The sequence below is a fragment of the Homo sapiens genome, chromosome 4 (genome assembly GCF_000001405.40).
Source record: "Homo sapiens chromosome 4, GRCh38.p14 Primary Assembly".
Lineage (NCBI taxonomy): Eukaryota > Metazoa > Chordata > Mammalia > Primates > Hominidae > Homo > Homo sapiens.
The window spans coordinates 139,157,799-139,180,780 of NC_000004.12; the positions used below are offsets into that span (position 1 = coordinate 139,157,799).

The following is a 22,982-nucleotide window of genomic DNA, read 5'->3' on the forward strand; positions in this document are numbered from 1 at the left end:
AACCTAATCAACGACGATTTGTTCAACCTGTTTTATGATGGTGAAAATTGAACAGCAAAGTATCATCTAAATATACTCTGGATAAACTCGGGGCCAGTGGCGCAATGGATAACGCGTCTGACTACGGATCAGAAGATTCTAAATATACTCTGGATAGAAATACAGGTTAAAACTTTAACTCGCATCCGTGTGAAGAGACCACCAAACAGGCTTTGTGTGAGCAACAAGGCTGTTTATTTCACCTGGGTGCAGGCGGGCTGAGTCCGAAGAAAGAGTCAGAGAAGGGAGATAGGGGTGGGAACGTTTTATAGGATTTGGGTAGGTAATGGAAAATTACAGTCAAAGGCGGTAGTTCTCTGGCGGGCAGGGGTGGGGGTCACCAGGTGCTCAGTGGGGGAGCTTTTGAGCCAGGATGAGCCAGAAGAAGGAACTTCACAAGGTAATGTCATCGATTAAGGCAGGAACAGGCCATTTTCACTTCTTTTGTGATTCTTCAGTTACTTCAGGCCATCTGGATGTATACGTGCAGGTCACAGGAGATATGATGGCTTAGCTTGGACTCAGAGGCCTGACATTCCTGTCTTCTTATATTAATAAGAAAAATAACATAAAACAAAATAGTGGTAAAGTGTTGGGGCAGCGAAAATTTTTGGAGGTGGTATGGAGAGATAGTGGGCAATGTTTCTCAGGGCTGCTTCAAGCGGGATTAGGGGCGACGTGGGAACCTAGAGTGGGAGAGATTAAGCTGAAAGAAGATTTTGTGGTAAGGGGCGATATTGTGGGGTTGTTAAAGGGAACATTTGTCATATAGAATGATTGGTGATGGAAACATTTATTGTACAGAACTATTGGTGATGGCCTGGATACGGTTTTGTATGAATTGAAAAACTAAACGGAATAAGAGAAGGAAAAAAGCAGGTATTAAAGGACTAAGAATTGGGAGGACTCAGGACATCTAATTAGAGAGTTTCCAAGGGAGTCCAAGGGGGTTTAGCGTAATTACTTGCTTGGTTGGCAAGTCTTTGGGCTCTATTCTTGACAGAGTCCTTTTTTTTAAGTTGGAGGCTGAGCTTGGTGAGGTGTGTTTTTAAAAGACAATTAGTCGTTTCACCTTTCCTGAAGATTGAGGACCGTAAGAGGTACAAAAGTTTCACTGAATACCAAGAGCCTGAGAAACTGCTTGGGTGATTTGACTAATAAAGGCCGGTCCGTTATCGGACTGCAGAGAGGTGGGAAGGCCAAACCGAGGAATTATGTCTGACAGAAGGGAAGAAATGACCATGGTGGCCTTCTCAGACCCTGTGGGAAAGGTCTCTATCCATCCAGTGAAAGTGTCCACCTAGACCAAGAGGCATGTGAGTAAAGTCAATTTGCCAGTCCTGGGCAGGGGCAAACCCCCGAGCTTGATGTGTAGGGAAGGGAAGGGGCCTAAGAAATTCCTGAGGAGTAGTAGAATAGCAGATGGAACACTGAACAATGATTTCCTTGAGGATAGATTTCCACGACAGAAAGGAAATGAGACGTTTTAAGAGATGGGCTAGCAGCTTGTAACCTACATGGAAGAGGTTATGAAATGATGACAGAATAGAATGGGCCTGTGAGGCTGGAAGGAGATCCTTGGTCCAAGAACCATTTGCCTTGTGTGGGAAGAGATTGATAGGTGAAGTTTCAATGGAGGAGTAGGTGGGAGTGGCCAGATGAGAAGGAGAAAAACTGCCCTGAGGGATAGAAGTTGGAACTCTAGCTGCTTTTTTAGCTACCTTATCAGCATAAGCATTGTCCTGAGCCATGGGATCTGATGCCTTTTGATGGCTGCTTTTTTAGCTACCTTATCAGCATAAGCATTGTCCTGAAATGATGGGATCTGATGCCTTTTGATGGCTGCTTTTTTAGCTACCTTATCAGCGTAAGCCTTGACCTGAGCGATGAGATCTGATGCCTTTTGATGGCCTTTGCAGTGAATGACTCCAGCTTCCTTTGGAAATAAAGCAGCCTTGAGAAGAGTTTTTATTAAAGTGGCATTAATGAAAGAGGACCCTTGTGTAGTGAGGAATCCTCTTTCTGCCCATATAACAGCATGGTGGTGCAAGATATGGAAGGCGTATTTAGAGTCAGTATAAATATTGACGCGTGTAGTCCCTTTGCAAGAGTGAGGGCTCAAGTTAAGGCAATGACTTTGGCTTACTGAGAGGTAGTGGAGGGGGGCGGAGCGGTAGCCTCAATGATAGATGTGGAAGATACTATAGCATAGCCTGCAGGCCAGGCGCAGTGGCTCACGCCTGTAATCCCAGCACTTTGGGAGGCCAAGGCGGGCAGATCACGAGGTCAGGAGATTGAGACCATCCTGGCTAACACGGTGAAACCCTGTCTCTACTAAAAGTACAAAAAATTAGCTGGGCGTGGTGGTGGGCGCCTGTAGTCAGTTACTGGGAACACTGTGAGAGCCAAGTTCTCAGATGCCAGCCAATGGCCAATCTTGCAAGCAGACCTTTCTAAGAATAGCTATCTCAGACCTACTATGTTAACTCTTTTCTGCACAGCAAGTTATTTATCTTCTCCAGATCTCAGAGTCATGTGTAAAAAGTGAATAATAATAATAGAAACTATTTCATGGAGACCATAGTACAAGTAATATGTAATCCTGTATGATGACAAGACTTCATGACCTAAAGATCAGTCGATGGTAGTGATGAGGAAGATTACAGAAAGTTATAGACAAGGTAAAACAACTCAAAACATAAATTTCAACCCCACAGCAACTTTTAGAGGACAATAAAACCATAATTATCAGGAATGATCTTGAAAAAGGGTCAGTGGAAGAAACACTGACCCTGTCTTTCACTCACAAAATATACGGGAGATTTAAAATATTTTATCATATTGGCCAGGGGTGGTGGCTCACACCTGTAATTCTAGTATTTTGGGAGGCCGAGGCGGGTGGATCACTTGAGATCGGGAGTTTGAGACAAGCCTGGTCAACATGCTGAAACCCCGACTCTACTAAAAATACAAAAATTAGCCGGGCATAGTGGCTCACACCTGTAATCCCAGCTGCTCCAGAAGCTGAGACAGAAGAATGTCTTGAACCCGGGAGGTGGAGGTTGCAGTGAGCTGAGACAGTGCCACTGCAGTCCAGCTTCGGCAACAGAGTGAGACTCCATCTCAAAATAAATAAATAAAAGAAAAATAAAATTCTAAAATGAATGCAGTAAGATCTCTCTGTGTGTGTCTCCATGTGTGTATACACACACGTGTGCCTAGATATGTTTAGGAGTGTTTTATACCTATGTACATATATTATGTTGCGTATTGTGTATACAGCCAGAAATTCCTTGAGGAATTCTATTCAGATTGGTTTAGATAAGTGAGTGCTTACATAAATTGTTAAAATATATAGGAATCAACCCAAATGCCTTTTTAATTCACATAATTTAAGTAAATCTTTGATAAATAAGCTGGTTTTAAATTTATTGATGAAATAAAAATAGGAACATCTTCAGAACTGTTAGCATACATTTTTGCCTGGTTTTACTAGTTAGAATTTGTTTCTGCTAAATGTTTTAGGGTGTCATGATTGACACAGGTTATAAAACTATAAAACCAGCCTAAAAACAGAATAGTCTTTTATTTGTGAAGCTCTTTGATAAGACTAATTTAATAGTGTTGATTTAATGAAAACAGCTGTATCTTCTGAGTTATCAACAAAATCTCCATACATTTAACTTTAAGGTTCTTTTTTAGGTTAACATCTGATATTCTTAGGCTATGAAAAGGGCGAACAGGAAAGTAACCTGAATGACGACTAGCTTTGTCTAATATCTCAGTTCTCACAAATAGTCTACGTAAAACTGTTTAAAAAAAAAAAAAAAAAAAAAAAAAAACTCTGAGTAGGCCGGGCGCGGTGGCTCAGGCCTGTAAACCCAGCACTTTGGGAGGCTGAGACGGGCGAATCACCTGAGGTCAGGAGTTCAAGACCAGCCTGCCCAACATGGAGAAACCCCGTCTCTACTAAAAATACAAAATTAGGCCAGGCGCAGTGTAATCCCAGCACTTTGGGAGGCCAAGACGGGTGGATCACAAGGTCAGGAGATCGAGATCATCCTGGCTAACACGGTGAAACCCTAACTCTACTAAAATTACAATAAATTAGCTGGGTGTGGTGGTGGACGCCTGTAGTCCCAGCTACTCAAGAGGCTGAGGCAGGAGAATCGCTTGAACCCGGGAGGCGGAGGTTGCAGTGAGCTGAGATTGCGCCACTGCACTCTAGCTGGGGCGACAGAGCGAGACTCCGTCTCAAAAACAAAATTAGCTGGGCATGGTGGAGCATGCCTGGAATCCTGTGGTGAGCTGAGATCGTGCCATTGCACTCCAGCCTGGGCAATAAGAGCAAAACTCTGTCTCAAAAAAATAATAAAAATTAAAAAAATAACAAATTATGGGCCAGGCACGGTGGCTCACGCCTGAAATCCCAGCACTTTGGGAGGCCGAGGAGGGCAGATCACAAGGTCAGGAGTTCAAGACCAGCCAGTTTGAGACCAGCCTGGCCAACACGGTGAAACCCCGTCTCTACTAAACATACAAAAAATAGCTGGTGTGGTGATGGGTGCCTGTAATCCCAGCTACTCCGGAGGTTGAGGAAGGAGAACTGCTTGAACCCGGGAAGTGGAGGTTGCAGTGAGCCAAAATGGTGCCACTGCATTCCAGCCTGGGCAACAAAGCAAGACTCCGTCTCAGAAATAAATAAATAAATAAATAATGTAAATACAAATGGAATAAATGTTTATAAATGAACTTTTCACATAATTTGAAATATTAAAATTATGTTAAATTAAGTGATAAATACTCATTAAATGTCCAGATCGTTTCCAAATAAGGAAAAATACTGAAACACCAATTGCTGAACATAAATACATTTGTTCTTGCCTTGTTAAATCTTATAGAAAGACTGAATATATTTCAGTCTATTAATACACACAAAATTATGTTACGGAGAATGTTTGTAAAAAATATTTAAAAGTCTAGGCATAGTGGCTCACACCTGCAATCCCAGCACTTTCAAAGGCTGAAACAGGAGGATTACTTAAGGCCAGGAGTCCAAGACCAGCCTGAGCAACACGGCAAGACTCTGTCTCTACAAAAAAAATTTTACACTAGCCAGGCATGGTAGCATGCTCCTGTAATCCCAGCTACTCCAGGGGCTAAGACAGGAGGATCCCTTGACCCCAGAGTTCAAGTTATAGTACGCTATGATCATGCCACTGCACTCTAGGCTGGGCAACAGTGAGAGACCCTAACTCAAAAAATAAAAAAATATATAAAATACTGATATATGATAGTTCAAAATTTCTTGCTTCCTAGGTTTTCATTAAAAATCAAGATTACTAAGTTAGAAATTCTAACTAATGTATATAATTCTGTATATGAAGTGTAACAAAAAACATCATGTGGCTTTGATGAGAAAAATTATGAGAAAAGCATAAGAATGTATTATTCATTGAGAAAAAAGAATAACTGTAAATTCAGAGGTTATTTAAGGTTATTTTGAAAAGTAATATTTAGGAAGGAAATAATATAAAAAGGACTCAGTAAGCAGGAGAGAGAAATATAAAGAAAGTTATAAGGATGTAATTTTGGCAAAGAGGGTTAAAAGGAGAATAACTTTTCACAATGATAAGGAAAAAAGAAAGTAAACTGTGTCCTAAAGTAAAATGACAGGTTATTTAAGAAAGAGAAAGTATAGGACAAAGCTAAAGGACCAAGAATGTTGTGGAAGATCTGATTAAGCTGTGGAAAGTTTGTGAAGGATGAATTTATTAAAGAAATTTTGTGTGTGGGCCAGACACAGAGGCTCATGGCTGTAATCCCAGCACTTTGGGAGGCCGAAGCAGCCAGACCACTTGAGCCCAGGAGTTCAAGACCAGCCTGTTCAACACAATGAAACCCCGTCTCTACAAAAAATACAAAAACTAGCCAGACACACTGGCATGTGCCTGTAGTCTCAGCTACTCAGGAGGCTGAGATGGGAGGATCACTTGAGCCCGCCAAGTTAAGCCTACAGTGAGGTATGATCGCAGTGGAGACAGAATGAGTCCCTCTATCAAAAAAAAAGGAAGTAGGAAGGAAGGAGGGAGGGAGAGACAGAGGGAGGGGTGAGAAAGAGAAAAGAAAGAAAGGAAAGGAAAGGAAAGAAAGAAGGAAAGGAAAGGGGCAAGGGCAAGAGAAAGAGAAAGAGAAGGAAGGGAGGCAGGGGTGAGAGAGAAAGAGTGGGGGTGAGAGAGAAAGAGGGAGGGAGAGAGGGAGAGAGAGAAAGAGGGAGGAAGGGAGAGAGAGAAAGAGAAAGAAGAGAGAGAAAGAAAGAAAGAAGGAAAAGAAAGAAAGAAAGAGAGGGAGATGAAAAGAAAGAGAAAGCGGGGAGGAGGGAGGGAGGGAAAGAGATAGAGAAGGAAGGAAGAAAAGAAGGAAGGGAGGGAGGAAGGAAGGAAGATTTTTTCATACGATTAAGTTGGCTATAAATAAAAGAAAATTAGTTACAAGTCTTTCTAAAAGTTTAGCTTTGGTCAGGCACGGTGGCTCACGCCTGTAGTCCCAGCACTTTGGGAGGCGGAGGCGGGTGGATCACCTGAGGTCAGGAGTTCGAGACCAGCCTGGACAACATGGAGAAACACCATCTCTACTAAAAAATACAAAAATTAGGTGGGCGTGGTGGCATGCACCTGTAGTCCCAGCTACTCTGGAGGCTCAGTCAGGAGAATCACTTGAACCTGGGAAGTAGAGATTGCCGTGAGCCAAGACTATGCCACTGCACTCTAGCCTAGGTGACAGAATGAGACCCTGGCTCAAAACAACAACAAATATCTAAAATTTTGGTCCCCTGTGTTAGAACAAGCTTTTCTTGAAGTCTTGATCTGTTCTTAGTAAAAATTGCAAGAGGTTTTTATGTTTATTTCAGAAATCTGTTTCTTTAAGTTTTTAAACATCTTCTGAACTGCAGCTTTACAGTTTACAGCAGTTCTGTATTGGCTTTTACTGATGTGTCTGAATTGCTCCACTTAACCCAGAATTTCCCATGATTTTACTAAGAGCCATGTATTTCCTGCTCAAGGTACTAGTTTTCCTGTTTACATTTCTCTATAATATGGTGTACGCTCATAACCTTGGACACACACTCTTCCTGTGTCAAGTAATTTTTCATCAGGTCCAACTTCCAGATTATCTAAATGGGTTTCCCATTAGCAGAAGCAATCTCATTGCAGGAAGTTTTCTTTGCCTTTTTGTTAACTGGCCCAAGAAACAAAGACTGCATCTTATGAAGATAATCCCTGTATTTCATGCTGTCTTTATTAGGGTTTTTGGTTACTTAGGAAAACTGGGCTTTAGAAGGGTTAAGGGTTTGGGGTTTTTGTTTGTTTGTTTCCCATCCATGTAACTTTCTGTATTGCTTTTGAAATCTTTTGATTATTACTGTGGTTAAATTAATGACTATTATTTCACAATGACCTATGATTCTGTTTTGATCAGGTGTTTTAAACCTTTTGACATCTTTGGTAAACTTCCCCAGGATCAAGTTCTAAATTAAGTCTTTTGGCTTGGAGCGGTGGCTCATGCCTGTAATCCCAGCACTCTGGGAGGCCGAGGTGGATGGATCACCTGAGGTCAGAGTTCGAGACCAACCTGACCAACATGGAGAAACCCCATCTCTACTTAAAATACAAAATTAGGCCAGGCACAACGGCTCACGCCTGTAATCCCAGCTACCCGGGAGGCTGAGGCAGGAGAACCACTTGAATCCCAGAGGCAGAGGTTACAGTAAGCTGAGATCGCACCACTGCACTCCAGCCTGGGCAACAGAGCAACACTCCGTCTTAAAAAAATAAAAAATAAATAAGTCTTTCTTGACCTCAAACTAACTTTAGGATGTTCCACAAGGCACTGGACCTTCTCAAAGATTTCTGAAACAGAGACACTGAACTAAATCAGGCTTGATATGCTGAATTATATGGAAAGCACTGACAAATAAGTGATTCTAGATCTTCTTGCAGTTACATTTATTGATATGATATTAATATGAATATTCCAAAAGTATATAAAACTCTTAGAAATCTAATATGTCATCAGTCATAATTCTAGTATATATTACATGCCACAAAAATAACTGAATTTCTTTGTCAATTGCTGATTATAATAAACTTCATCAGATTTTTAACCATGGCTATTCTAAATCTTCATCATTCACAGTTTTGATTCTTCTCTAAAAACAGGCTGGGCATGGTGGCTCACGCCTGTAATCCCAGCACTTTGGAAGGCCGAGACGGGCGGATCACCTGAGGTCAGGTGTTCGAGACCAGCCTGGCCAATATGGCTACTAAAAATAAAAAATTTTAGTCTTTAGTCTCTGGTCTTTACTAATTTTAGTCTTTAGTCTCTACTAAAAATACAAAAATTAGCCAAGGTAGTAGTGTGCACCTGTAATCCCAGCTGCTTGGGAAGCTGAGACAGAAGAATCACTTGAACCCAGGAAGTGGAGGTTGCAGTAAGCCGACATCAGGCCACTGTACTCCAGCCTGGGTGACAGAGTCAAACTGTCTCAAAAAATAAATAAGTAAAATTTAAAAATAAATAAAAATAAAAATATCTGCAATCAGGTTCATGGAAAAGATTTGTACGCTTAAATATACATTTCTAATAACTTTAAGCTCAATGGACTAAAAATTTTCCAGAATTCTAATGAAGAAACTGATTAGTTAGAAAAACTGCTAATTAAGATTAAGCAACACAAAATATGAGATTAGGCCGGGCACGGTGGCTCACGCCTGTAATCCCAGTACTTTGGGAGGCCGAGGTGGGCGGATCACAAGGTCAGGAGATCGAGACCATCCTGGCTAACATAGTGAAACCCCATCTCTACTAAAAATACAAAAAATTAGCTGGGCGTGGTGGTGGGCACCTGTAATCCCAGCTACTCAGGAGGCTGAGGCAGGAGAATGGCGTGAACCCAGGAGGCAGAGCTTGCAGTGAGCCGAGATGGTGCCACTGCACTCCAGCCTGGGCGAGAGTGTGAGACTCCGTCTCAAAAAAATAAAATAAAATAAGAGATTAAATAATCAATGATGTTTTTATGACTTTTATTTGAAACACTGTTGGTTCTTTACTTAAATGTTCAGTTTTCCAGATTTAAGAAAATTTTTCTCTTAAAGTATCAATCATTTACAGTAATTTGGTAAGATAATACTTATCTCAACAAAAGTGAAAGCATTTACTTTTTCTCCCTACTTGATCCCTCTGCATTAGATATTGGTTAAGTAAAATTCAGAAACTATTCATGAGTATTCTTATTTTTATGATAATATAGGGTTGTTGGCATAAGTTCATAAAAGTTTGCTCTCTTTATAACAGGATACAATTAGAAACGTTAGTTATATTACCAAGACTTTGACTGGAATATCTTATTTAAGAATGTGCACACAATGTCTGGGTTCAGGTGTTCCCATTCCTACAGTGAGAGAATATAATCTGTCACTTCTTGGCCAGCCCAGGAACCTTAAGGCTGTAGGTGAAATCTAATGTCTCCCTTGGTTTGGCTTCCTAGTCTTGAAGGGTTTATAAATCTGAGATTTCTTTGTGGTCAACAGCTATTCTTGCTGCATTTATGTAAATAATCAGACAAAAAACTAATAAAACTATTTTATAAACAAATTTGTCTTATTCTGATTGGTAGAAACTGGGATGACTATAAAAAGTTATGCTTCTAAAGAAAAACTACTGTATCTATTATTAGACTGTAGCCCTGTACACTGTATTTGAGTTTTTATTATCTACCTGCAAACTGGCCTAGATCCTAAATTCTTCTAGGTTCCTCCAATCCAACTTTCTTCCACAGAATTATTAAAACAGAAATTGCTCTGTTCCTGAAGCCCTATAAGCTGAAACTCGATGAATTTTAAGGGACAAGTCTGGTACTCGAAGTCTGAGCCACACAGAAAAGTTCACCAAACTGCCCAATGCCTTAACCAGAGACATTCAAACTGCAAACCAGGATGAGAAGTCGATGGTTCCGCACTGTAGACAGGTTTTCCCAAGATAATTGAACAAGGGGAGACTCTTACCCCTCTTAAGGCGTAGCTTTTTCACTTGGCAAGATAATGTTGTAACTGAAATTTCACAATCAGTAGCTTCTGCTGGTAACTTGACAGAACTTGACCTAAGAGATCCTTCAGTCCACCTAGTGGGTGACTCTGGCAACATCCCTAAAAAAATTATTCACACTCTGCTTTAATTCAACCCAGTTATGGAATGCCGAATGATAACAATGCTCTGCATTAGCTATTGGTTAAGTAAAGAAATGTCTGTGCTATTACTAATACTACATGATTTACCTGGATAAATTCCTTTGAGGAAGTTGAGACTCATACGCAAAATAAGAAAACAGATCACATGGTTACAACAGGTCTCATCTAGTTCTCCATGGTCACTTGGTTTCTTCAACTGACTGCCTTTAGGTCTAGCTTCATGGCTCAAAACCATTATGTAAACTGGTATTATATTACTATTAATTTTACTTTGTATTTTCCTTTTTAAACTTTGTACATGTTATTTGTTACATTTCTGTAGTAGTACAGAATTATACTGACCCAACAGAATTATACTGGGCTGGCCCTAAACCCTGAGATGATAGCCTACATTTAAGGAACAGACAAAAACTGATCTTAATAATGGATTCCCGGCAGACTTAGCCTGAGAATCACTCCCTCCAAACTTCCCTTGTGTGCTCAAATGTGACTGAAAGGGTCCTGACACTGACTCCTAGTTTGACAAGCACTCCCTCCAACATGGGACCATACCAACAACCCAGGACAGGTCCATCCTGGCACCTAAAGATAATTAAAACCTAACTACAAGATGATTGATCAGTGATGCTTCCAAAGAAAGATCCCTTTTGTTTTATTTGTTTTTTTAGAGACAGGGTCTCACCATGTTGCCCAGGTGGGTCTCAAACTCCTGGGCTCAAGCAATCCTCCTGCCTCTGCCTCCCAAAGCGCCAGGATTACAGGCATGAGCCACTGTGCCTGGGTCCAAAGAAAGATTTTGATCAAAAGGGGGAAAAGTGAAAGTTGTTAGAATTAAAATTGAGTCATTTGTGTTAAAAGCCCTGACAAATGGAGCCAGGGAAGGCCATGAAAGGAGGGTTCTCATGCATGAATACCTGATTAAAAAAAAATAACTATTGCCCGGGCATGGTGGCTCACGCCAGTAATCCCAGCACTTTGGGAGGCCGAGACAGGCAGATCACGCTTGTAATCCCAGCACTTTGGGAGGCCAGGGCAGGCAGATCACTTGAGGTCAGGAGTTTAAGACCAACCTGGCCAAAATGGTGAAACCCCATTCCTACTAAAAATACAAAAATTAGCCAGGCATGGTGGCGCAGGCCTGTAGTCCCAGGTACGTGGAAAGTTGAGGCAGGAGAATCACTTGAACCCGGGAGGCAGAGGTTGCGGCAAGCCGAGATCGCACCACTGCACTCCAACCTGGGCTACAGAGCGGGACTACATTTAAAAAAAAAAAAAAAAAAAACTATCACAAAAAAACTCATAAAGGCCACAACCCTGCACAAAGGCAACTGCAACCTTACACAAAAAAATACTTCTGCAAGGACATCTGCCCAGTAACTTCATGTCCAACCTCAGACTGGCATCACTCTTGTCACTGATCTTTATAGCCAAACATAATTGATTTAAAACAATGATGTAATCTTCCTCATTTTTCCTTTAAAAATCTGTCTTGGCCGGGCGCGGTGGCTCATGCCTGTAATCCCAGCACTTTGGGAGGCCCAGGTGGGAGGATCACGAGGTCAGGAGATCGAGACCATCCTGGCTAACACGGTGAAACCCTGTCTCTACTAAAAATACAAAAAATTAGCTGGGCATGGTGGCGGGCGCCTATAGTCCCAGCTACTCGGGAGGCTGAGGCAGGAGAATGGCGTGAACCCGGGAGGCGGAGCTTGCCATAAACTGAGATCTCGCCACTGCACTCCAGCCTGCGCGACAGAGCGAGACTCTTGTCTTAAAAAAAAAAAAAAAAAAAGCTATGTCTTCCTTTACCTCCCTGAATATGCACATAGTTTACTACGGTATGCATATTCCCATTATAATGCCCATTCCTGAATAAATACTGCTTTCTTTCAGAGGGACTGTCTTTTACTTAGGTTGACAGAACCATCTGTATGTAAAAGATGAATTTAGAACCTTATTTCTCACCATACACAGAAATTAATTCAAAATAGATGATAAAATCTAACTGTTAGAGTTAAAACTATAAAACTTCTAGAAAGCAGAAAAATCTCAAGATCTTGGATTAGGCAGAGTTCTTACATAAGACAACAAAAGTATAATCTATAAAAGAAAAAATTTAGAAACCACACTTCATCAAAATTTAAACTAATTACACTTTAAAAGATCTTAATCGCCTTTTTTTTTTTTTTTTTTTTTTTGAGACAGAGTCTCGCTCTGTTGCCCAGGCTGGAGTGCAGTGGTGCGATCTCGGCTCACTGCAATCTCTGCCTCCCGGGTTCAAGCGATTCTCTGTCTCAGCCTCCTAAGTAGCTGGGGCTACAGGTGCACACCACCACACCCGGCTAATTTTTGTATTTTTAGTAGAGATGGGGTTTCACCATGTTGGCCAGGCTGGTCTCGAATGCCTGACCTCATGATCCACCAGCCTCAGTGTCCCAAAGTGCTGGGATTACAGGTGTGAGCCACCACGCCCAGCCACCAATTTTTTAAGCAATGAAAAGACCAGCAACAGACTGTAAAGAAATATTGGCAGATCATGTATCTACTAAAAAACTTACATCCAGAATATATTTCTAAAAAAAAAAACTTCTTATAACTCAATAAGTCAAACAACCCAATTATATTACATTACATTATATTATATTATATTATATTAATTATATTATATTATATTTTTTTGAGACAGAGCCTTGCTCTGTTGCCCAGGCTGCAGTGCAGTGTTGCAATCTCAGCTCACTGCAACCTCCGCCTCCCAGGTTTATGCAGTTCTCCTACCTCAGCCTTCTGAGTAGCTGAGATTACAGGCATGCGCCACCACCTCCGGCTAATTTTTGTATTTTTAGTAGAGACAGGGTTTTACCATGCTGACCAGGCTGGTCTCGAACTCCTGACCTCAGGTGATCCACCCACCTCAGCCTCCCAAAGTGCTGGGGTTACAGGCATGAGCCACCGCACCCAGCCCAAACAACCCAATTTTAAAAGGAGCAAAAGATCTGAATAGTGATGTCATCAAAAAAGATGGGTCAGACACGGTGGCTCATGCTTGTAATCCCAGCACTTTGGCAGGCCAACGCAGGAGGATTGCTTGAGCCCAGGGGTTCAAGAGTAGCCTGGGCAATGCAGTGAGACCCCCATCGCTACAAAAAATAAAAATAAAAAATTAACCGGGCATGGTGGTATGCACCTGCATTCCCCATTCCCAACTACTCAGGAGGCTGAGGTAGGGGGACTGCTTGAGCCCAGGAGGTCAAGGCTACAGTGAGCTCTGGTCGCACCACTGCACTCCAGCCAGCCCATTTATGCCAAGTGTTCCATTTTTGGAATGCTAAGCTTGTGGGAATTATTAATATCCTACTGCTCAAGGTCATCGCCAAGGTCTGCTTTTTCACAAAAAAAAATTGCAACTTCGGGCATAAATGGGTTAAGAAAAAAGATACATGAAAAGATGCTCAATACTATGAGTCATAAGGAAAATTAAAATTAAAATCACAATGACTCCACTAAACAGTACACAGAGAAAAAAACAAAAAAAAAAACACAACAAATTAACAAAATCAGGCCGGGCATGGTGGCTCACGCCTGTAATCCTAGCACTTTGGGAGGCCAAGGCAGGAGGACTGCCTGAGCTCAGGATTCGAGACCAGCCTGGGCAACATGGTGAAACCCCGTCTCCACTAAAAAGACAAAAAATCAGCTGGGCATAGTTGTGCTCGGCTGTAATCCCAGCTACTCGGGAGGCTGAGGCAGAAGAATTGCTTGAACCCAGGAGAGAGAGGTTGCAGTGAGCTGAGATTGCACTACTGCACTCCAGCCTGGGCGACAGAGTGACTCAAAAACAAACAAATTCATATCCATTAGAACAGCTATAATTAAAAAAGAAATACAATAATAAGTGTTGGCAAAGATGTGAAGAAAACTAGAACTCTCAAACATTGCTGTTAGCAATATAAGACGTTATGGCCACTTTGGGAAAACAGTTTGGCAGTGTCCTAAAAAGCTAAACGTATGATGCTGTAATTCTACTCCTAGATAGCTAACCAAGAGAAACAAAACCATATGTCCACATAAAGACTTGTACTCAAATGTTTGAGTATTATTTAAAGAGTCAACAACTGGAAATAATCGAAACACCTATATATACTGGTCAACAGCTAAAGTGTGTTACAGTAATCTCCCCTTACCTACAGCTTTACTTTGCAGTTTCAGTTACCCACAGTCAAACATGGTCTGAAAATGATAAATGGAAAATTTCAGAAATAATCTACGTTTTAAATTGAGTGCCATTCTGAGCAGCATGATGAAACCTCATACCATGCCCCTCTGCCTCGGCCATGAATCATCCCTTTATCCACCATATTCACGCTGTCTACACTACCTGCTCATTAGTCACTTAGTGGCCATCTCAGCTATCAGATCAACTAGTATCTTAGTGCTAGTAACCCTTATTTTACTTAACAATGGCTCAAACACTCAAGAGTAATGAGGATGACAACTGGATATGCCAAAAAGAAGCTGTAAAATACTTATTTTAAGTGAAAAAGTGAAAGTTCTCAATTTAACAAGAAAAAAACTTTATGCTGTTTGCTAACACCTACAGTAAGAAATCTTCTATGAAATTGTGAATAGCATATTGTTGTAACTATTCTATTGTATTGTTTTTAATCTCTTATTATGTCTGATTAACAAGTTAAACTTTATCCTAGGTATACAGATACAGAAAAAAATAATATATGGTTCAATACTACCTGAGATTTCAGGCATCCACTGGGGGTCTTGGAATGTATCCCACACAGATAACGGGGGGGGGGGGGGGGGGGGGGGCTATCATATACCTATACAAAGAAATACTATTCCAAAGTAAAAAGGGACAAAAAACTGATAAACGCTACAATATGAATGAATCCCAAAAACATTATGCTAAGTGAAAGAAGCCAGATACAAAAGACTACATATTGTACAATTCCACTTATACAAAATATCCAGTAAAAGCAAATGGATTAAGACAAAACCAATCAGTGATTGCCTGAGGCTGGGGGTGGGAATAAGGGTTAACTGCAAACAGGCTGGAGGGAATTTTGGAGGCAATGGAAATGTTCGAAAACTAGCTCAAGGTGATAGATAGTTTCACGATCTATATATTTACTAAAAATTATTGAATTATATACTCAAAATGGATAATTTTTTTGGTATCAGGTAAGTCAAAAGCTAATTTATTAAAAAGTGTACATACCCAAAGAAATGACAACACATCTACACAAAAACATGAATATTCATAGCAGCATAATAGCCCAAAAAAATAGAAACTTAAATGTCCATCAACTGATGCACAGATAAATAAAATGTAATATGTCCATAAATAGAATATTACTCATCAATAAAAAAAATGATTACAGGGTGGGTGCAGTGGCTCACACCTGTAATCCCAGCACTTTGGGAGGCCGAGGCAGGCGGATCATGAGGTCAGGAGATCAAGACCATCCTGGCTAACACAGTGAAATCCCATCTCTACTAAAAATACAAAAAATTAGCCGGGCGTGGTGGCACGCGCCCGTAGTCCCAGCTACTTGGGAGGCTGAGGCAAGAGAATCGCTTGAACCCGAGAGGCGGAGGTTGCAATGAGCTGAGATCGTGCCACTGCACTCCAGCCTGGGCAACACAGCGAGACTCCGTCTCAAAAAAAAAAAAAAAAAAAGACTATAAAAAATTTTTTTAATTAAAAAGGATCAGGTGCAGTGGCTCAAGCCTGAAATCCCAGCACTTTGAGAGGCCAAAGAGAGAGGATTGCTCAAGCCCAGGAGTTCAAGACTACCCTGGGTAATATGGTGAAACCCCATCTCTATAAAAAAGAAAATAGATTAGCCGGACGCGGTGGCTCACCCCTGTAATCCCAGCACTTTGGGAGGCCAAGGCGGGCGGATCACGAGGTCAGGAGATCGAGACCATCCTGGCTAACACGGTGAAACCCCATCTCTACTAAAAATACAAAAAAAAAAAAAAAATTAGCCAGGTGTTGTGGCATGCGCCTGTGGCAGGAGAATCGCTTGAACCGGGTGGCAGAGGTTGCAGTGAGCCAGATCACACCACTGCACTCCAGCCTAGGCGACAGAGCGAGACTCCATCTTAAAAAAAAAAAAAAAAGAAAGAAAGAAAATAGATTTTAAAAAAAAAAGAAATGAAGTACTGACACATATTACAACATGGATATACTTTGAAAGCATTATGCTAAACGAAAGAAGCCAGTCACAAAAGACCGCATTTATGGTTTCATTTACATAAAATGTCCACAACAGTCTAATCTATAATGATAGAAAGTCGATCAGTGGTTGCATAGGACTGGGAGTGCTGAGGGAAAATGAAAAGCGACTGTTAATGGATATGGGGCTCTTTTGGGGGATGATTAAAATGCTGTAAAATTGAGTATAGTGATGGCTGCACAACTCTGAATATACAGTCGGCCCTCCATATCCATGAGTTCTGAATACATGGATTCAATCAATGAGGTACAGAAACTACTCAAAAAAAAATTATGTCTGTAAATGAACATGTACAGACTTTTTTCTGGTCATTATTCCCTAAACAATACACAGTATAACAACTATTTACATAGCATCCACATTGTATTAGGTAGTATGAGTGATGTGGAGATGATTTAAAGCATACAAGAGAATATGCAGAGTTTATATGCAAATACTATGTCAGTTTTATTCATTTTTCCTAGGAGACAGGATTTTGCTCTGTCACCCAGGTTGGTGTCCAAACTCTGGCCTCAAGAGATCCTCCCACCTCAGCCTCCTGAATAACTGGGATTACAGGCACAAGCCACTGCACCCAGCAACTATGCCATTTTATTTTAGGGACCTGAGCATCCATAGATTCTGGTGTCTGAGGAAGGCCCTAGAACAAATCCCCAACAGATACCGATGGACAATTGTAGTAAAAACCACTGAATTGTTCACCTGCAAAATGGAGTAATTTTTTAAAAAATTAATAAACCCACCAAACTGTACACTTTAAACTGAACTGACTAGTATGTGAATTATATCATCGTGAAGCTGTTACTCCTCCAAAAATGGTATACAACATGAGCAGGTAAAGCCACTAACATTAGCAGACCCTACAGGCCACAGGTACCAATCTGTTTACTTAGGACAGAAAAATCCCAAAGTTACAAATTCTTTCCAACCATACTCAAGCTGACTATTTTGTAAATGAGTATTTATGTCTGAAATGAAAGGCAATGATAAATCCAATGAGTTAAATCACTAAACTTAAAAATAGGTTGACATAAATATTCAAACTTCAAATGCCCAGGATATTCCAATTTTCTATTTCATGTGTTTAACTACTAGATATCGTCTCAATAATATTTACATGAATGTACTCTGTAAACTGTAATGCTCTATAAAAAGTTTTATTATTCCTAAATTCCCTTAAATGTAATTTAATGGTTTCCAGTCCTATATAAGTCATTCTACCTTTTGAAGAAACTCTGAAACACAAATATCCAATCCTTTCTTAGTAAAGCATACATCCTTCCGTGATTCTGGCACCAAAGAAAGTGCATAATTTACTTCAGGATAGAGAATCACAGATAAAAAGGAAAACAAATCTGATTATCAAACACACGATTACTATTCTCTCATCACCGGATTACAATTTAAACCATTAAGCTGAAGTAAATGTTCATGAACACAAGAAAGGGGGGAATTTTTAACAGTTTTACAATGACGTGTCCCCCTCTTCCTCATTTAATGAAGTACTAAACTTAAAGGCTATTCTGCAGCGAATCTGCCTCCTAGAAAGAGTCCATCCAGGATGCTGGCAGAGGGAAAAAGATTAGAAACTGTGCGATCTGGATTATTCTTGGTGTCACGGAATATTTTTTGAGTCCTTTATGGACATGGAATAAAAATGCCCAAATGGAGCAGAAGAGAGGGCTCGGCTACCCTGATCACAAAGCTCCTGGGGTAGAGTCAGCATCCAGCCCTGGCAGAGCCCTCCCTGTCCTCCTTCCGCGCCCCTAGACCATCCCGTCGCGCGGTCCCTGAGGACCAGCTTCGCGAGGATCCAGAAGGCGGTCACTGGACGTGCCTGTTACGAGCCCGTTTTTGTTTTGCTTAAGAAACAGATTCCGATCCGAGCAAAGCCTCCCTACCTCCCGGGGAATAGGGGGAGATGGCAGCACGGTGCCGGCGTGGAGAGCGAGAATAAAAGAACTGCCGAGTACAACCTGTCGTGCAAGCTAGCAGCGCCGGGAAGGAAAGGTAAGCGGCGGCGATAAGGCACGACAGGGAAGGAAACTGGTGTCCAGCGCCCCCCCCCGCCTGCCCGCCACCCAGAGCGGCCGGAGCCTCCCAGGTCCCGCCCCGAGCTCGCCGCCCAGCCCCGGCGCCGGCCGCAGACTCCCGCCCTACACAAACCCTCCCAGGACGCGCTTCCTCCGGAGCCGGACCCCCGCCCTGGCCTCCCCGCGGGATGAGGCGGGTCAGTTCAGTCCGCTTCTCGGCAGAGGTGACTCGCGCAGAGATGTAAACACGGAGAGACCAGCTGCGCTCGGCCCATCCCCCCCGCCGGGGTCTGTAACCTCTTCCCTCAGCCCTGCCCCGCGCCCCGCGCTCCCCGCGGGCAGGCGCGCAGCGCGCCTTCCCCTTTCTCCAAGTCCCGCTCCGCGACCGTTGCCTGGGGACACTCAGCCCCCTTCCCCCAGCCCCCGGCCGGTGTCACCGCCGCAGCCGCCGGAAAACCCCTCCGCAAACCCCGAAGCAAACAACACAAGCGCGGGGCGGGGGCGCGGAGGGAGGCGGCGGCAGTCGGGACAGCCAGGCTTTATCGCCGCGCCCTTCGCGCTCCCTCTCACCAGCCTCGGCTGCCCGCGCTCTTACCTGCTCTCCGCGACGCCTGGGAAGACCGCGGCGTCCTTTTCCCTCTCAGCAGGGCCGCGGACTAGCCGCCGCCGTTGGCCGAGCGTCCGGAGGGAGCCGGGGCCTCCCCAGCAGCCCGAGCCGCTCCACAGGGAGAGAAGGAGACAAAACAGAGGCTCGCCGCCCCGCGCAGCGACCCCCGCCCGCGCCGCCCCACCGACCCCCAACCGCCTAGGCGACGGCGGCGACACAGAGCTTGGCGCTGGGAGCAATGGTTGCCCCCGCCCCGCTCCGCTCCCGGCCCCCTCCCTCCACCCCCCGCCTCGGCTCCTCCCCCTCGGCCTCCTGCCGCCTCCACCAGGACACTGGAGTCCGCCTCCCCCTCCCCGCCAGCTCAGAGTGCTCCTCCCCTCCCCACGCGGCGGGGGGGCGGGGGCGGCACCGCCAGTCACCGCAGCGCCTGTCAAACGCGGGCCGGCTATTTATACCCCGCGGGGCCCCGCCGCCCTCGGGCCCCCACCAGCCCGCCGAACCTGCTTCTTTTGCTGTCTTGAATCCCGCCCTCTTCTCCTCGCCCAACTTCTCCCAAACCCGCCTTCCCAGGTAAAGACGCTCGTCACTTGTCCGGCTCCTTGCCCAGGGCTCCCCGATCTCGCTCTCCACTCCAGCCCCGGATTGGTGCAGGGGGCTCTGCCGCACGGGGCAGGCGTGTGAGGCCGATGGGGCCGCGCGTGCACCTGCAGCGCCCGCCGGCTTTCCCCCGCCGGCCGGGACCGCACGCACACACCCTCGCCACTCAGGGCCCCCGCAGGCCCCGCCGTCACCGCATCCCCAACTCAGGACTCTCGCCCTTCTCCGGAGACGGCCCCACAGTCGGGCAGTCTGACAGTTACAGGGGGGCGAGGTTTTGCAAAAACTCCTAGCCCGGTCTTTCCAGTTCCCACTCCTCAGCCTTGGCTTAGTGAAAGGTGGGGGTTCGGGCAGGAGCGCGACGCCGGCCCCGCCCCGGCCGGTGACGCACGTGGCGCACCGCCCCGCCAGCCTCGCGCCCCTCGGCGCCGCCAGCTCCTCCTCCCCGCTAGCAAAAGCCGGGCGTAGTACACCCGCGACCCCGCCCCATTCCCAGAAATTACCACCCGCCCAACAGCCCGGCCGCGCGGCGGTTGGTGCCGGCGTTTGCTGGCTGTCGGGTGGCTGGGCCCAGCGCGCAGCTGCGGAGCGCGGCGGGCGGCCCCTTGGAGCTGCCCGGGGAGCTGCGGGCACTCGCACCTAGCCATTGTCGCTCCTTGCGCGGTCCGCAACGGAGAAGTAACTCAAGTCTGAGTGTTGTTGGTGCGAGAATGAGAGAGTGTTCTGGTGTGGGAGTATTTTGGCCCAAGTGCCTGCGAATTCGAAAACGAAAACCCAGCAGTGGCTGCACGCTTCTGGTTTCCACACTTTCACACAAAGGGGAGCCTTCGAGCGGGGCACTCTCACGCGCCTTCAAGTGCACAAAAGCCAATGACACGGTGCCGTGGGTTGCCCTGTGTAGGAGCGTCTCTTTAATGGGCTTTGTAGGCACAGTTAATGCATACAAACGCCTCAGTCTATTTCTTCACCACCACCATTCCCCGCCGCGGCGTTTTCTGTATTTGTTTCTTTAACAAAGAGCACAGCCTGTCCGGTGCGCGCGGGGCTCCTTTTGCTCCCCTCCAGGGCTCCTGCAGCCTCGCCGCGATGGACCTGGCACCTGGCGCGGTATTCACCAGCTGATTTCTGGGCTCCAGCGTTACCCTTTTTACGGCTTCACAACCAGTCTGGAGCAAAGAAGAAACACTGAGGAATATAAGTGATAGCTGTTCTCTTGAAAGGGACGTGGGAACCGTGGAAATCACCCTAGAGTAAGGCTCAAATGTCAGAAAGCTGCAGGAGGCTCCAGATTTAAATCCCTGAAGAGCCTAAGAATGTAATGATCTCTTTCTTTTGTTAATACTGCTGTTGCCTCTATTTTCTTGGGGGTGAGTCTTCTCTTCCTTTCTTAAAAAGCAACTCTGGGCCGGGCGCAGTGGCTCACGCCTGTAATCCCAGCACTTTGGGAGGCCCTGGAGGGTGGATTGCCTGAGGTCAGGAGTTCGAGACCAGCCTGCCTAACATGGTGAAACCCCGTCTCCACTAAAAATACAAAAATTAGCTGGGCGTGGTGGCACACGCCTGTAGTCCCAGCTCCTCGGGAGGCAGGAGAATCGCTTGAACCCCGGAGGTAGAGGTTGCAGTGAGCCGAGATCGCAACACTACACTCCAGCCTGGGCGACAGAGCAAGACTCCTTCTCAAAAAAAAAAAAAAAAAAAAAAAAAGGCCGGGCGCGGTGGCTCACTCCTGTAATCCCAGCACTCTAGAAGGCCGAGGCGGGCGGATCACCTGAGGTCAGAAGTTCAAGACCATCCTGGCTAACACGGTGAAACCCCGTCTCTACTAAAAATACAAAAAATTAGCCGGGTGTGGTGGTGTGTGCCTGTAATTCCAGCTACTCGGGAGGCTGAGGCAGGAGAATCGCTTGAACCCGAGAGGCGGAGGTTGCAGTGAGCCCAGATCGCACCATTGCACTCTAGCCTGGGCAACGAGAGCGAAACTCCGTCTCAAAAAAAAGCAAGTCCGAGGGCTCTTATTCTTATTTAAGAAATTTTTACTCTTGAACACAGAGGAAACCTGGAGACCGTGACTGTTAATCAAAGATCCTCTTAACTCTTGACAAAGTTTTCTGGATTCCTGAGTTCTAAATCATGGGACTGTTGACACCCTTTTGAACTAAAGAATTTGTAACAATTTGGTAACATTCAAATCTTTAATACACAATAAACAGGATTCTGCAAACAGAGCACCCTTTCTAAGGGAGTCTTTTTATCTCACTTCTTGTAAATAACTTATCACTTATGGGAACCATTGCCCAATTTGATATTTGTAAGGAATTAATTAATAATCAATAATATTGCATCTTCATAACATAACATAGCATACTAAGGAGCCGGCAAAGACAAAGACTGATTCCTGTTGTTAGGGACAGATATCACCTGCCAAGTCACATAATTTCTGTTGTCAGCCACGTTGAGAAGAAATTCTCTCCCACTGCCGATTGGCAGTAAGCTGGAAAGTCCCAGGTGGATAACAGTGGTAGATAACATTATTGTTCCCAATTTTTCACTACTCCATGCATGCATGCCATTTGAAATACGGCTTTGTAGTTCCTCTCAGTAGAGATAGGATGTTTCTCCATCCTGTTCATGTTGAGCTTAGATCAGTCCATTTGCTTTTGGTCAAAGGAAGATAGGCAGAAGTGAGTGTGACAGTTCTGAGCCTGGCCTCAAGAGGTATTTCATGTTTCTCCTTCCCTCTCTGGCACTCTTGTTTTTCACAATGTGAAGAACATACCTGGCTAGTTTGCTGGTCAAAGAAATATGAAGCAGGTCTGAAGCCAGTCCCAGCTTGGGGTCAGCAACCTAGAGAATAAAGGATTGTTGTTTCAAGCCGTGTTTTGGAGTAATAGCGTTTTGGAGTAATAGTGTTTTGGAGTAGTTGGTTCCTGGAATTAGTGTTGTGATAGCTGACTGAAACAACAGCAGAAAGAGCAATCTGCTTCCTTCATATTGGCCTGCAAGGTGCCTAACTTGGTGTGTCTCAGGCAGCTCTTTGGCTATGGTTCTTAAACACATCCCTTATGGAGGCCAGCGGAGTAAGGAACCCAGAAATTTTACAGCAAGCTTGTCCAACCCAGGGCCTGCAGGCTGCATGCGGCCCTGGACCGCTTTGAATGCAGCCCAACACAAATTTGTAAACTTTCTTAAAATACTTTTTTGCGAT

General features: G+C 44.4%; 1 protein-coding gene and 1 long non-coding RNA gene across 16 annotated transcripts in view, besides 9 other annotated features; one reads left to right on the plus strand and one right to left on the minus strand.

Moving 5' to 3' along the window:
• Positions 1 to 20,117, minus strand: part of ELF2 (E74 like ETS transcription factor 2) — a 120,696-nt gene extending 100,579 nt beyond the window's left edge. For 7 of the 15 annotated variants that reach the window (XM_005262805.3, NM_201999.3, NM_001371336.1 and 4 more), the window contains exon 1: positions 19,169 to 19,420. The gene's annotated coding sequence lies outside the window, so the exon portion shown is untranslated. Of the gene's footprint in view, positions 1 to 10,103; positions 10,245 to 10,968; positions 11,059 to 18,706; positions 18,769 to 19,168; positions 19,421 to 19,680 lie in introns of those variants that run through there. The other 8 variants (XM_047449740.1, XM_047449741.1, XM_047449737.1 and 5 more) reach the window with 4 other exon arrangements.
• Positions 1,191 to 1,774: an enhancer, noted in NCBI's record as "OCT4-NANOG-H3K27ac-H3K4me1 hESC enhancer chr4:140080143-140080726 (GRCh37/hg19 assembly coordinates)". NCBI's record gives its function as "activates a minimal SCP1, AML or CMV promoter by ChIP-STARR-seq in naive and primed H9 embryonic stem cells {active_cell/tissue: H9 hESC(naive and primed)}" and the evidence as "EXISTENCE:reporter gene assay evidence [ECO:0000049][PMID:30033119]".
• Positions 1,775 to 2,356: an enhancer, noted in NCBI's record as "OCT4-NANOG-H3K27ac hESC enhancer chr4:140080727-140081308 (GRCh37/hg19 assembly coordinates)". NCBI's record gives its function as "activates a minimal SCP1, AML or CMV promoter by ChIP-STARR-seq in naive and primed H9 embryonic stem cells {active_cell/tissue: H9 hESC(naive and primed)}" and the evidence as "EXISTENCE:reporter gene assay evidence [ECO:0000049][PMID:30033119]".
• Positions 4,229 to 4,846: an enhancer, noted in NCBI's record as "H3K27ac-H3K4me1 hESC enhancer chr4:140083181-140083798 (GRCh37/hg19 assembly coordinates)". NCBI's record gives its function as "activates a minimal SCP1, AML or CMV promoter by ChIP-STARR-seq in naive H9 embryonic stem cells {active_cell/tissue: H9 hESC(naive)}" and the evidence as "EXISTENCE:reporter gene assay evidence [ECO:0000049][PMID:30033119]".
• Positions 5,491 to 6,123: an enhancer, noted in NCBI's record as "H3K27ac-H3K4me1 hESC enhancer chr4:140084443-140085075 (GRCh37/hg19 assembly coordinates)". NCBI's record gives its function as "activates a minimal SCP1, AML or CMV promoter by ChIP-STARR-seq in naive H9 embryonic stem cells {active_cell/tissue: H9 hESC(naive)}" and the evidence as "EXISTENCE:reporter gene assay evidence [ECO:0000049][PMID:30033119]".
• Positions 6,124 to 6,755: an enhancer, noted in NCBI's record as "H3K27ac-H3K4me1 hESC enhancer chr4:140085076-140085707 (GRCh37/hg19 assembly coordinates)". NCBI's record gives its function as "activates a minimal SCP1, AML or CMV promoter by ChIP-STARR-seq in naive H9 embryonic stem cells {active_cell/tissue: H9 hESC(naive)}" and the evidence as "EXISTENCE:reporter gene assay evidence [ECO:0000049][PMID:30033119]".
• Positions 18,357 to 22,982, plus strand: part of LOC105379412 (uncharacterized) — a 69,678-nt gene continuing 65,052 nt past the window's right edge. The window contains exon 1 of the long non-coding RNA XR_007058273.1: positions 18,357 to 18,550. This is a non-coding gene — a long non-coding RNA (uncharacterized LOC105379412). The remainder of the gene's footprint in view (positions 18,551 to 22,982) is intronic.
• Positions 18,391 to 18,440: an enhancer, noted in NCBI's record as "active region_21919". NCBI's record gives its function as "activates an Ori minimal core promoter by ATAC-STARR-seq in GM12878 lymphoblastoid cells {active_cell/tissue: GM12878}" and the evidence as "EXISTENCE:reporter gene assay evidence [ECO:0000049][PMID:35858748]".
• Positions 19,041 to 20,000: a silencer, noted in NCBI's record as "silent region_15696". NCBI's record gives its function as "represses an Ori minimal core promoter by ATAC-STARR-seq in GM12878 lymphoblastoid cells {active_cell/tissue: GM12878}" and the evidence as "EXISTENCE:reporter gene assay evidence [ECO:0000049][PMID:35858748]".
• Positions 20,011 to 20,390: a silencer, noted in NCBI's record as "silent region_15697". NCBI's record gives its function as "represses an Ori minimal core promoter by ATAC-STARR-seq in GM12878 lymphoblastoid cells {active_cell/tissue: GM12878}" and the evidence as "EXISTENCE:reporter gene assay evidence [ECO:0000049][PMID:35858748]".
• Positions 20,757 to 20,881: a transcriptional cis regulatory region, noted in NCBI's record as "candidate enhancer chr4.2840 targeted for multiplex CRISPR interference". NCBI's record gives its function as "positively regulates MGARP gene expression with high confidence in K562 cells {active_cell/tissue: K562}" and the evidence as "EXISTENCE:mutant phenotype evidence [ECO:0000015][PMID:30612741]".